Source organism: Homo sapiens, chromosome 16 (genome assembly GCF_000001405.40).
Source record: "Homo sapiens chromosome 16, GRCh38.p14 Primary Assembly".
Taxonomy (NCBI): domain Eukaryota; kingdom Metazoa; phylum Chordata; class Mammalia; order Primates; family Hominidae; genus Homo; species Homo sapiens.
Window position 1 is genome coordinate 11,538,066 of NC_000016.10, and position 14,014 is coordinate 11,552,079.

A 14,014-nucleotide genomic window follows, 5' to 3' on the forward strand; every position below is an offset into this window, starting at 1 on the left:
TAGCTGGGACTGCAGGCACGCACCACCACGCCCAACGACATTTTTAAGACAGAATCTCGCTCTGTCGCCCAGGCTGGAGTGCAGTGGCACGATCTCAGCTCACTGCAAGCTCCGCCTCCCAGGTTCACACCATTCTCCTGCCTCAGCCTCCCGAGTAGCTGGGACTACAGGCGCCCACCACCACGCCAGGCTAATTTTTTGTATTTTTAGTAGAGATGGGGTTTCACCGTGTTAGCCAGGATGGTCTTAATCTCCTGACCTCGTGATCCACCTGCCTCGGCCTCCCAAAGTGCTGGGATTACAGGCGTGAGCCACCGCGCCTGGCCCGTTTTTTTTTTTTTTTTTTTTTTTTTTTTTAAAGAGACCGAGTCTCACCTTGTTGTCCAGGTTGGTCTTCAACTTCTGGCCTACACCAACCCTCCCACCTTGGCCTCCCAAAGTGCTGGATTACAGGTGTAAGCCACCACGCCCGGCTGAATTGTACACTTTAAATGGGTGAATTGTGTGACATGTAGATAACATCTCAATAAAGCTATTGCCAAAGAAGCCAAAAAGTTCTTACCGCAAAGCCCTGTGTGAGTGGCTGTTATACAGCAGAGTCTACGATGGGGTCTGAAACCTTCTCCCTGCGTTAGGAGGCCTGCCTCTCCCGGCACTTTTCCCATTTCTTGGCTACTCAGAGATGCACCAGCCACTTCACCTGTGGCTCAGCTCTATAATCGACCCCTGCTTCCAATCCCCACGTCCTCCAAGCAGAAATACGCCTGCCCAGGATCACAGGTACCCTAGCTGCTAAGGCCTCCGTGGTAATGAGCCCTTATGTAAAGACGACAGCCCCGTGCCCAGTCCCCTTCCTGCCCTTGCTTCCAGGGAATGGGCCCTATTAGCCATGCCCTGAGCAGGACACACGTGCAGCCCTAGATCTGTAGACGCAAGACTCACTCCAAAGATGGGATTCTCAGCTCAGGGAGGGAGGGAGGCAGCCCCCAGGGCCCACCGGTGGAAGGAATGTGGGGGCCTTCGAATGACCTGCAAAGGTGGCTCCTGGCCCCATCCTCACCTGAGCCAGATGTGTGAATACAGACGCCCGCCCCTGGCAGCAGACAGTGGGAAGGAGACACAGGGGGCTGATTCTTGCAAAGTTGAGTGTCATTTCTTGGCTTGCTCTGCTCCTGCGTATCAAAGCTGACCACAGCCTGGTGCTCATTGAGACCTGTGTCTCAAGGGTTTCCTAGTTTACCGAAGAGCTGGCTCCGGTGGGCTGTAGGGCAAACGCACCTGAACGCAATAACCTGCGCACATCCTTAGGATGACCTGGATGGCAGACTCACCTGAATGTGAGTCCCAGCTACGGAATCCGGGAATGGCCAACCTGGAGATTTGTTTCCTGTCTATGAGAAACATCTGAGCCCCTGGCCCATCCCATGAAACACAGGCCCTCCAAGGGATGGAGGCTCTGAGTTTTAGGTTACATGAAGGTTGCCAGGTGGAGGTCGTTAAGGGGAGGGTGTTAAGTGAAAATGCTGAATAAACTGCATGCTGTTTGCAAGTGGCTGCAGTTTCCCTCTCCAGCCCACCAGCACCTGCACTCTCTCCCCTGTGTCTAAGTCCCGAATCAAACCCAATGTCTCCTTTGCTGGCTCTGCATTTCTTCTTCAGCCTCTTGAACTTGTTACCTCCCTAGTGAAACTAACAGGGTTTCAGCACAACATAGGCCAAAACAGCAAGCCCCTAGCATATTCCAGCATGTTCTGGAATGTTCCAGCAGGTACTGTCTTCTCCCCTAGACCTGTCCATTTCCCAACACAGACATTTAGCGCTGGAGGAATCAGCCTACCTCTTCTTCGAAAGGAGAGGAACTCGGTGTGGGAAGCTCAAATGAGTTGTCCCAGCCCTGCAGCAGGTTGCAAGTAGCTCAGTCATGGTTCTTGATGAATCAAATGCTTTCACTTTACTTTCTTCCCTAATTCAACAAGCATGTCCTATACATTTTAACCCAACATTGTACTGGTTCCAAAGATGTTGATACTGAGGTCCTGTCCTCAGATTCTACCATTTGCTTTATAAGTATTATTTAATTATACATTATAGTCTTTTTTTTTTTTTTTTTTTTTTTGAGACAGAGTCTCGCTCTTGTTGCCTAGGCTGGAAAGCAATGGTGTGATCTCAGCTCACCACAACCTCTGCCTCCCAGGTTCAAGCAATTCTCCTGCCTCAGCCTCCCGAGTAGCTGGGATTACAAGCATGTGCTACCACGCCTGGCTAATTTTGTATTTTTAGTAGAGATGGAGTTTCTTCATGCTGGCCAGGCTGGTCTCGATCTCCCGACCTCAGTTGATCCGCCTGCCTTGGCCTCCCAAAGTGCTGGGATTACAGGTGTGAGCCACCGTGCCTGGCCATTATATTATAGTCTTAACACAGTTGGTAATGGTTACTACCTCACTGAAACCTCCATTCTGATTTACGCTGCATCCACAGTTCACTCTATCCTCATTTTACCAATTGTCACATGAAACAATACAAATTGGTGTATTTTCTTTGATCGAGGTGAGATTCACCTAGTACAATTAAACAATTTTACAGTGACCAATTCAGTGGCATCAGCACATCCACATTGTTGTACAACTGCCACCTCTATCTCGTTGCAAAACATTTTCTTTTTCTTTCTTTTTCTTTTTTTTTTTTTTTTTTTTTTGAGACAGGGTGTCACTCTGTCGTCCAGGCTGGAGTGCAGTGGCACAATCATGGCTCACTGCAGCCTTGACTTCCCAGGCTCAAGCGATCCTCCCACCTCAGCCTCCCCAGTAGCTGGGACTACAGGTGCCTGCCATTACACCAATCTATTTTTTTTTTTTTTTTGCATGTCTTTGTAGAGAGAGGGTTTCACCATGTGGCCCAGGCTGGTCTCAAACTCCTAGGCTCAAGCGACCCTCCTGCCTCGACCTCCCAAAGTGTTGGGATTACAGGCATGAGTCACCACGCCTGGACTGCAAAACATTTTCCTCACCCCCAAAGGAGACCCCAGATCCATGAAGCAGTCACTTCCCATTCTCCCCTCTTCCCAGCCCCTGACAACCACCAATTTGTCATCTGTATCTATGGATCACCTATTCTGCATATTTCACATAAATGGAATCATACAACAGGTGACCTTTGCTGCCTGGCTTCTTTCACGTGGCATAACGTTTCCAAGGCTCATCCACACTGTAGTATGTGTTAGTGCTGCATTCCTTGTTATGGAAATTGGTGTATTTTAACCATGTTTGGGTCAGTGACAGACACTCGATCCCCAAACATTGGAAATGTTTCCTTTGACCCATGCACTTTGCCCAGGTGTTCTCAATGAGGTGATTTGATTTTGTTTCTCCAGAGACATTTAGTGATGTCTGGAGTATTTTTTTTTTTTTTTTTGAGACAGAGTTTCACTCTTTCGCCCAGGCTGGAGTGTAGTGGCGCGATCTTGGCTCATCGCAACCTCTGCCCCCGGGTCCAAGCGATTCTCCTTGGCTCAGCCTGCCGAGTAGCTGGGATTACAGGCGCCCGCCACTACGCCCAGCTAATTTTTGTATTTTTAGTAGAGATGGGGTTTCATCATGTTAGCCAGGCTAGTCTCGAACTCCTGACCTCAGGTGATCCACCTGCCTTGGCCTCCCAGAGTGCTAAGATTACAGGCATGAGCCACTCTGCCTGGCCTGGAGTATTAATATTTTTGATTGTCACAACTGGGGACTGCTACTGGCATCTATCTCTGGGTAGAGGCCAGGGATGCTGCTACACATCTTCCAATGCACAGGATGGACTCAGAACAAGGAATGATCTACCCCAAGGTGTCAATAGTGCCAAGGTCAAGAACCCTGATTTCAGTTCCTTCTGTCTGGCTGATCTGATCCCCAGGCCCCATGGAACAACATTTCTTAACATTGCCAGCCCTTAGGAAACACCCCGGCACTCCTTTCTCATTCTCTTTCTTTCTCTTTTTCTTTCTCATTCTCTTTCTTGCTCTTTCTTTCACTCTTTTTCAAGAGATGAGGTCTCCCTATGTTGCCCATGCAGGAGTACAGTGGCACAGTAATAGCTCACTGCAGCCTCTAACTCCTGGGCTCAAACAATCCTCCCACCTCAGCCTCCCAAGCAGTTGGGACTACAACGGGCACCACCACACCCTGCCTTTTCTTAAAAATGCAGATTCCTGGGCCCCCTCCCAAGCCTTTCAAATCTGAATCTCCAGCCACGTAGCTTGGGAATCTGTATTTTTAACAAGGCCAAGGTGAATTGTAGGACCAGAAGAAGTTACTCTGTTATGAATTTCTTGGCAACTGTGTAAATCTCACTTATTCCATGCCTCCTTTCTTTTACTTGTAAAATGATCATGTTTTTCCTTTTTATCTGGAAGAGTTCTTGGCAGGATTGGTGGAGACAGTATTTGAGGAAGCGTTTATATGCAAGATCACGTTATCATAATATGCAAAGCAAGCATAACATGATGACGTTCCAGTTTAGATTCCCAAGAGCAAGGAGCCTGACTCTCCCATTTGCTGCTGCATCCTGGGAACATGTTACACACCCAATACGCACTTACTGATTGAACAGAGGCCCTGGGGACCACAGCATCAGTGATGGAGCCTCACACACTCACACCAACCCCCAGGCCGGGCCAGCGACCTGGGGGCACGCTGCAGCTGCAGGCTGATCGGGGCAGCCTTAGCACTTCAGTGGGCCACTTCCTCCATAAAAATATTTTTAAACATGTATTTTATGACTGTGTTGGTATAAAGAGAAATATAATCCAGGCTGGATTCATTATTATATGCAGGCATTTTTCCCTCTTATGGAAAAAAATGATAAAATTAAAGACTTTCTGTGGCCCCAGTATGGCTGTGCCCAGGGATAGGTCGGCACTGATGCCTGGTGGCATCTTGAGAGTTCCTAATCCAGTTGATCTGGGGCATGGCATGGGCATGGAGCCTTTTAAATGTTCCCCCGGGGGATTGTTTTTTCATTGTTTTTTTTTTTAGAGCAAGGGCCTCACTCTGTTGCTCAGACTAGAGTGCAGTGGTGCGATCACGGCTCAGTGCAGCCTTGAACTCCTGGGCTCAAGCCATGCCCCTGCCTCAGCCTCCAGAGCAGCTGGGACCACAGGCACACACCACCACACCCAACTAATTTTATTTATTTATTTATTTATTTTGAGACAGAGTTTCGCTCTTGTTGCCCAGGCTGGAGTGCGATGGCGTGATCTTAGCTCACCACAACCTCCGCCTCCCGGGTTCAAGCGATTCTCCTGCCTCAGCCTCCCGAGTAGCTGGGATTACAGGCATGCACCACCATGCCCGGCTAATTTTGTGTTTTTAGTAGAGACGGGATTTCTCCATGTTGCTCAGGCTGATCTCAAACTCCCGACTGCAGGTGATCTATCCGCCTTGGCCTCCCAAAGTGTTGGGATTACAGGCATGAGCCACCACGCTCAAACTTAATTTTTAATTTTGTAGAGACAAGGTCTCACTATGTTGCCCAGGCTGGTCTTTAATTCCTGGGCTCCAGCAATCCTCCTGCCTTAGCCTCCCCAAAAGGCATGAAGCCACCGCATCCAGCCTCCCCCAGGGGATTCTAAGGTGCAGCGTGGGGTCTGAGGACAGTGGCCCTGGCCCTGTCGTACAGGATTCAGTAAGAATCTTTCCCATCTGGAATCATCCACCAGCAGCTGGACATAGCCGTGATTGACAAGGTCGGGAGGCCAGGCATGGTCCCCTCCACACTGCATAACAATGGAAGGAACAATCATTCCTACCCTTTAGTCCCTGAGATCAGTGAGGCAACAGTCATTTGTCTTCCCCCTGGGGGTCGTTGGCCTGAAAGTCCTTGCAGGACTCCAGGAGGACTGAAGGCTTCCAGGCCAGTGCAGCTCCGGGCAGCTTGGCCCCTTCCCCTTACGCTCCATGCACCCAGAGACACATACACATGTGGATGCACGCTCACACGGGGCCAGACACTCATAGACAGCTACGGAGACACCCGGAGCCCAGCTCACACACATGACAGACACCTAGGCCCTCCAACAAACACCCACAGACACACCCACACATACACAGACACACTCCTACATATCCCCCCATACACAGCCCCCAACACACACACACACACACACCTATAGAGACACCCAGACCACCCCCTCACATATACACATGTGGACACTATCTGCTCACTGATAAAGGCCTGAACGGATTTAAGACTTTAAGACAGAAGGCAGGCAGAACATAAAATGAGGAGGCCATTAAGTTAGACAAACAACTAATGCAGGGAAAGGCAAACCAATGTAACCACAAAGAAAACCTTCAGTGAAAATGGGAAGGCCAAGCACAGTGGCTCACGCCTGTAATCCCAGCACTTTGGGAGGCCAAGGCAGGAGGATCACTTAAGCCCAGGAGTTTGAGACCAGTCTGGGCAATATAGAAGACCCCAACTCTACACAAAATTTAAAAATTAGCTGAGTGTAGTGGCGTGTGCCTGTAATCCCAGCTACGCAGGAGGCTGAGGCAAGCGGATGGCTTGAACCCAGGACTTCCGAGACCAGCCTGAGCAACACAGTGAGACACTGTCTCTACAAAAAATAAGCCAGGCGTGGTGACATGCACTTGTAGTCCCAGCTACTCAGGAGGCTGAGGCAGGAGAATCGCTTGAACCCGAGAGGTGGAGGTTGCAGTGAGCCGAGATCATGCCACTGCACTCCAGCCTGGGTGACAAGAGTGAGACTTGGTCTCAATAAATGAATGAATGAATGAATGAATGAATGAACCATACAGGTAGAATTACCCTATAACCCAGCAATTGCATTCCTAGGTATACACCCAAGGGAACTGAAAACATATGTCCACACAGAAGCCTGTAAACAAATGTTCTCCGCGGCATTATTCACAATAGCCAAAAGGTAGAAACCACAGACGTTCATCGAGGGATGAGTGGATTAACCAATCGTGGTCTATCCACACAACGGAGTATGATTCACCCACAAAAAGGAATGAACCACTGGTCCATGCTACCATGTGGATGAACTTTGAAAATGTGATGCTCAGCAAAAGACGCCAGATGCAAAGATCACATATTCTATGATTCCATGGATATAGTATACCCACTATAGGTAAATCCATAGACAGAATGCAGACTGACGGGTGCCAGGGGTTGTGGAGAGGAGGGAATGGGGAGTGACTGCTAATGGGTTTGGGGTATTATTTTGGGCTGATGAAAATGTTTTGGAACCAGGTAGAAGTGATGGTTACATAGCACTGTGAATGTACTCAAAGCCACCTAATTATGTACTTTAACATTAGGTGAATTTTAGATGGAAAGAAGGAAGGAGAGAAGAGGAAGGGGGCAGAAATGTTGGCAGGGCAGCGCTAAGCCCACTGTTCACTCTTCCTAGGCAGGGTCGTGTTTTCTACCCCAATTGTACAATGGCTGCAACACAGCAGGAGTTAATCAATGATAAACAATGTCAAATCCACAGACACCAACCAGAGGCTTCCAGATGTTACCCTTCACACTTACTTTACACCGTGACCCCTCCCCCAAACACACACATCTATATATCCAAGTTTTACAAATAATACTCAGATCTATTATGAGTAATGCACTGTGACTTTTGATGAACCCATTAAGTTGATTTTGCCCATTTGGGAAACCGGCCAAGATCACTTAAGAGGCGCTGCAGTACTAAGAGCTTTAAGAATACTTAAATGCTGAGGCCAGGCACAGTGGCTCACATCTGTAATCCTAGCACTTTGGGAGGCCGAGGCAGGCGGATCACTTGAGGTCAGAGGCTTGAGACCAGCCTGGCCAACACGGCGAAACCCTGTCTCTACTAAAAATACAAAAATTAGCCTGGCGTGAGGGAGCGCACCTGTAGTCCCAGCTACTCAGGAGGCTGAGGCAGGAGAATCACTTGAGCCCTGGAGGAGGAGGTTGTAGTGAGCCAAGATTGTGCCACTGCACTCCAGCCTGGGCAACAGAGCGAGACTCCATCTCAAAAAAAAAAAAAAAAAAAAAAAAAAAGGAACAGAAAGGGAAAGAAAAGGAGAAAAGGTATTTAATTGGGAGAACATCTTTTTAATACTGCAGAGATCAGTTACAAGGTGGTGAGTTACATGCAGTAGACTCTATACGTGGTGGTGAGCTATTTATTTATTTATTTATTCATTTTAATCTGAGCTCCAGAATCTTATTTAAAATTCTTAGATTAAAAAAAAAAAAAAAGGCCAGGCACAGTGGCTCATGCCTGTAGTAATCCCAGGACTTTGGGAGGCCGAAGTGGGCAGGTCAGGAGTTCAAGACCAGCCTTGTTAACATGGCAAAACCTCATCTCTACTAAATATACAAAAATTAGCTGAGCACGGTGGCAGGCACCTGTAATCCCAGCTACTCGGGAGGCTGAGGCAGGAGAATCGCTTGAACCCAGGAGGTGGAGGCTGCAGTGAGCTGAGATCATGCCATTGCACTCTAGTCTGGGCGACATAGCGAGGCTCCCTCTCAAAAAAATAAAAAGCAAAACTATTCTTGATGTCTCTTTCATGGCCCTTGCTAGATCTACTTCCAATTCACTCATGTGCCTGCAAAAAAACAGGCGACTCACTGTAAACATTTGAGTCATACAGGGAGGAGAGGACCAAGGAACCAAAAGGCAAATCAGAATTCTGCAAGTAAAATTCCAACGTCTAGATTTACTCCTAACAGAAATCTTGAGCCCAGAAAGTCAGAGAAGGATTTTTAACATCCCAAACACGACAGGCTCTCACTGGGGAGAAAACTGAGGCCAAATGGTGTGCATATATGAAGCCATGTTTATAAATAGTTCAGTATCCAACAGAAGGGTTCTCGTTAGCAACTGGGAAGTCAGTTGTCCCAGAGAAAACATTTTCACGGGTAACACTGTGGTCAGCAAAGAATCCATCATATGCTTAAGTCTGGCTTCAAGAGATGCAGTAGCTGAATGATTTTGTTAAGCCACAAACCAACACTTCTTAGAAGGCCACCTCGCCTAGATGGACATAACAGAATATAAGATATACAGTCACTTTTGGTTTCAGATTGGTAAAATTCCTCTTTGCGGTCCAAGTAGGTAGGTATAAAGCCCTTTCATTAATTGAATGTGAACCAGTGTTTGCAAGAGACTCTCAAGTCCCCACCAAACAGTGGCAGAACAAAAGAGCCTTTTAATTTGATATGTAAGTCCATACTTCGAACAGTAAAATGGAATGTCCAATGAACACTTCACACTCCAGGCATCTGACATGAAAGTTCCGCATAAGACATGTTTTTACGATCCTGAAATAGGGCTCTTGTTTTGAAGACTTTGCATATGTAATTAATAATAGCTTGAGATCATGTACATGCCACCATCTGAGCCAAACTGCTAAATATGCATGGCCCCGAAACTACACAATCAAGATCTGGAAAGCAGCAGTTTTTCAAGACTGTAATTTAGGGTTTAAATGACAATTAAGCCACACCAAGATGACATTATTTCCTTGCATCTAGCAAAATGAAGCTGTATCATCAGGTAGCAAAGGACGGGGGAAGGCGGCATCCATATTCCTGACATGTTACAATACCCTCCTTTTAGCATCTCACAAAGCATGTTTTGTTCAGAGAATGAATGGGGACAGTTCTCTTTTGTGCATTTTATTAAAACTTGAAAGCTATGGCTTGCCGCCATCAATGACGCCTATTGGGTTCCAATAGCCTCATGTTCAAATCTGACTCGTTAGCAAATCCACCCAACTCAACATCGGTCATCTTGACATTGCAGGATATTCAGCAAGTCTGAAGTTTTTAATCGGGAAGGATTTTCTACCGTTACTGAACAAATAAAGGTTCTTTGTAGCAATGGCTGGAAATGCAACATGAGCCCTTTCTTCACACCAAAAGAACTCATAAATAGTTCACCGGGTGAACCAAAGACTTTATTTTTCAAAAGCAGGTAACACCAAAGTACTATGTGGTATCCATATTCGTTGCAAAAATGATAATTACTGGAATTTTCCAAACATCAAATGAAGGGGGATCAATGGTTACCACTATCGTTTTCAACCAATATACAGATGTTCGCTCAAGGTCTAGGTTTTATTTCTACATAGTAGTATTCACATGAGTTCCCTATTCTGAAGTATTATCAAAACGAGGACCCTTGAAGGTCGAGCCCAGCTTTGTCTTGACTTCAAAGATGACACAGCAGCCAACCTAGAATCCTGGCTTGCTGCTTGAGTCCTAGAAATCATGTCTTCTCATGTTTTACAACAAGCTGTGTCTCTGAAAACTAAAATCAGACTTTAGATTCCTCTGAAACAGTTCTGGTTCCCAAGCATCCGCACCATGGTACCCAGACATGCTCAAAATGTGCTTTCCCTTATCTTTCAAAACCCACCACCAGGAAACCAAAACGGACCCCACTCTGAGAGTTCCATGATGAAGGTGTTTAAGAATCACATTAACCCCAAGTAAAGGCAGTAGATGAAATTATCCATTTCTTTTTCTTTTTTTTTTTTTTAAGTGAGACTACATTGGCAAATGGGAAAATGACACCAATCATTTGATTACAGAAAATGGTTTTATAAATCCTCCTCTTGAAATTATGTTCAGGCCCAGCATGGTAGCTTATGCCTGCAATCCCAGCACTTCGGGAGGCCAAGGCAGAAGGATCGCTTGAGCCCAGGAGTTCGACACCAGCCTGGGCAACATAGTAAGACCCCATCTCTGTTTTTTTTTAAAAAAAAGAAATTCTGTTCAAAAGTATTTCAGACCAAAAGGAGGTCATAAAAACTGTTCATATAATTACTCTATGAGAAAAAAATCCCTGTATGGAAAGGGGCACTGAAGATCTGGCACAGAGAAACAAGGGGAGACAGGGCAGTGATAAGATCCAGCCCTATTTTTCTAGCATGCATTTACGACCTTGTGGATATGTCTGTACTGGGTGTTAATAGCCCCCTCCTTGTATTTAAAAAAAAAATTAAGAAATTAAAGTGAATCTGTGTGCTAATGAAGTCTGCAGTTACAGAATCTCAAAGCCAAGCCTGTAAAGTCTGTAAGGCAAGATCTTTGTCATCAGGGACGGGAAGAGACGGATAAGATAATGGTAGGCACTAAAGGCTGGTTCAGCCGAGCTCTGGGCAGAACAGCCTCAAAAATAAGGCAACTGTGGCTTCTCAGTTTGAGACTGCCACCAGAAAGGCCCATGGAAGCAGGAAAAAAGAGCCACTGATGGCAGATCACAGGAAGATATTCGGATAGGGCAATGATCACAGTTAGATGGCAGGACTCAGGGTCTCAGGGAGGCAGGAAACCGTGGAACTGACACTCAAGGGGAATGTCTTTGCAAGTCCTATGCACGACTCCAAGCAGCAATTTCTGGGGTTTGGAGATTTGTTAGTTTTGCGACGTATTCCCCCCAAAAGAAGACATGAAGGTGGGCCCCCTGGAGAGGTGAGACCACCAGGGCAGAACCTCCACCAGGCGTGAAGCTGGATGAGAGGTGGAAAGGACTTCCTGCGGCACCCGGCTCCCTCCACGTCTGGCTGAGTCCTACAAACGCTTGTAGGTGCCCAGGAGAGCTCTGCAGTTGGGACAGTAATGGTCCACGTCCTGCAGGGCATCCACGCAGAAGGGGATGAAGCAGCAGCCCGCTATGCACCTGGGAGGAGAGAGAGACACACGGAGCGCGTTACTGATCACAACAGGGTGAACACTGGCTGCCAAAACCATGTTCATGTCCTTCTTTGTAAAAAGGGTCTTTGCCAGTATAATTAGGAATTTTGAGATGGGATCATCTTGGATTATCCAGGCGGACCCCTAAAACCCAATGACCTTAGAAGAAGAGGAGAGGACACACAGAGATACAGAGAGGGCAGAAGGAAATGTGAAGACAGAGGCAGAAGCTGGAGTGATGAGGCCATAAGCCAAGGACACCTGGACCTACTAGAAGCTGGAGGAGGCAAAAAATGATTCTCCCTGAAGCCTTAGGAGGGAGCGTGGCCCTGCTGACATTTTAGTTTTTGGTTTTGTTTTGTTTTGTTTTTGAGATGGAGTCTCGCTCTGTCGCCCAGGGTTCAAGCAATTCTCCCTCCTCCTGGGTTCAAGCAATTCTCCTGCCTCAGCCTCCTGAGTAGCTGGGATTGCAGGCGCATGCCACCAGGCCCAGCTAATTTTTTTATTATTAGGAGAGTTGGGGTTTCACCGTGTTGGCCAGGCTGGTCTCAAACTCCTGACCTCAAGTGATCCACCCGCCTTGGCCTCCCCAAGTGCTGGGATTACAGGCGAGAGCCACCACACCCGGCCCCTGCTGACATTTTGATTTTGCACTTCTGGCCTCTAGAATTGTGAGAGTTAATATCTGTTGTTTTAAACACTAGGTGTGTTGTAATTTGTGATGACACCCCTAGGAAATTAACATGCCAGCCAATGCCAAGGCTCCTCCTACAGACAGAGCCCCTTTGAGTATTATTTTCAAATCTGGGGTCATTTGGGAGTCTTTCAAAGTCTTAGATGGGCTTGGTGAACTTTTTTTGCAAAGGGACAGATAGTAGATCTTTTAGTCTTTTTGTTGCTGTGTTTTGTTTGTTTTTGTAGAGATGGGGTCTTGCTATGTTGCACAGGCTGGTCTTGAACTGCTGGCCTCAAGTGATCCTTCCACCTCCGCCTCCCAAATTGCTGGGATTACAGGTGGAAGCCACCACACACCCGGCCACATACTTTCATCCTGATGAGCCATGGCGTCTCTGTTGCAACTGCTCAACTCTGCCCTTGGAATGAGAAGACAGCCACAGAGAATCCAAAAACCAACAGGCGTGGCTGTGTTCCCGTAAAACTTAAAACAGGCGCCTGGCTCCAGGGTCGTTTTGCCAACCCCCGTCTTACTGATCTCTTTTCCATATAGACAGGCTGCTTCTTACAGCAACCAAGTAGAGTTCCCCAAATAATGCCTCTTAACCTACATAATCCACCTTTGGCACACACAGGCAGGAACCTCAGACCGCCTGACAACCAATGTTTGCCAAAAATGGAGTTAAAACTCAACCCTTCACAGGAAGACGCTGGTTTACATAAAGCAGAATTTGGAAATATTCTGATGAGGAAATTATCTCATGAAAGAAATTTCCTCCTATTGCCTAAGCTTTCCAGAGCTCAAATAAGGGCAGTCAATCCATTCAGCAGGAATCCTAACCTATGGCTTACAGGTGCAGGCACGGCTCCAGGCAGCACACACACATATTTCATCCTCAGCAGGCCCTGAGGTGGGCGTTATTGCCCCGCACCCCCGTCTACAGATGGGGAAACTGAAGCACAGAGAGGTAAAGTCACTTGCCCATGGCCACACAGCTAGTGAGAGGCAGGATTTGAACCCACTCTACCATGTTTAAGGAAGGAACAAAGGGAGGGAAAGAAAGGTTGCCTCAATTTCTAAAGCCAGACTGGCAGAGGCCAATACTCAATGTAAGTTTCTATTCCTCTATAATCCCAGCACTTTGGGAGGTCAAGGCAGAAGGACTGCTTGAGTCCAGGAGTTCAAGACCAGCCTGGGCAACATAGTAAAACCCCTGCTTCCACACACACAAAAAAAAAATTTAAAAATTAGCTAGGTATGGTGGCACACACCTGTGGTCCCAGGTACTCAGGAGGCTGAGCTGGGCGGATTGCAGGAGCCCAGGAGATCAAAGCTGCGGAGAGCTACGATCGTACCACTGCACTCCTGCCTGGACAACAGAGCAAGACTCAGCCTCAAACAAAACAAAACAAGTTTCTATTCCATCTTTCCCTGATTCCAAAGATAAAAAATTTGTTTTAATACAAATATCCAGAGGCAATGGACTTTTTTTTTTTTTAAGCATTTTCTGCCCACAGAATGAAAACAACAGCAGAGTCCTGTGGGCAAGAGGGGGAATCAGGTGCCCAGAAAGCTGTTTTGTCTCCTTCCTTCCTTATTTAACACATGACCTCAAGGAAGTTAACTAAACTCTCTGGGACTCTG

The 14,014-nt window shown here is 47.0% G+C and overlaps 1 protein-coding gene across 12 annotated transcripts in view, besides 1 other annotated feature; it reads right to left on the reverse strand.

The window, feature by feature from the left end:
* Window positions 5,489–6,304: an enhancer, noted in NCBI's record as "OCT4-H3K4me1 hESC enhancer chr16:11637410-11638225 (GRCh37/hg19 assembly coordinates)". NCBI's record gives its function as "activates a minimal SCP1, AML or CMV promoter by ChIP-STARR-seq in naive H9 embryonic stem cells {active_cell/tissue: H9 hESC(naive)}" and the evidence as "EXISTENCE:reporter gene assay evidence [ECO:0000049][PMID:30033119]".
* The window catches only part of LITAF (lipopolysaccharide induced TNF factor), a 92,596-nt gene continuing 88,238 nt past the window's right edge, over window positions 9,657–14,014 (reverse strand). For 11 of the 12 annotated variants that reach the window (NR_024320.2, XM_047434928.1, XM_047434929.1 and 8 more), the window contains one exon: window positions 9,657–11,680. Coding sequence is in view for 11 of the 12 variants with exons in the window: in XM_047434928.1 (XP_047290884.1) it covers window positions 11,572–11,680 (109 nt within the window). In the remaining variant the exon portion in view is untranslated. Of the gene's footprint in view, window positions 11,681–13,641; window positions 13,740–14,014 lie in introns of all 12 variants that reach the window. The other variant, NM_001136473.1, reaches the window with a different exon arrangement.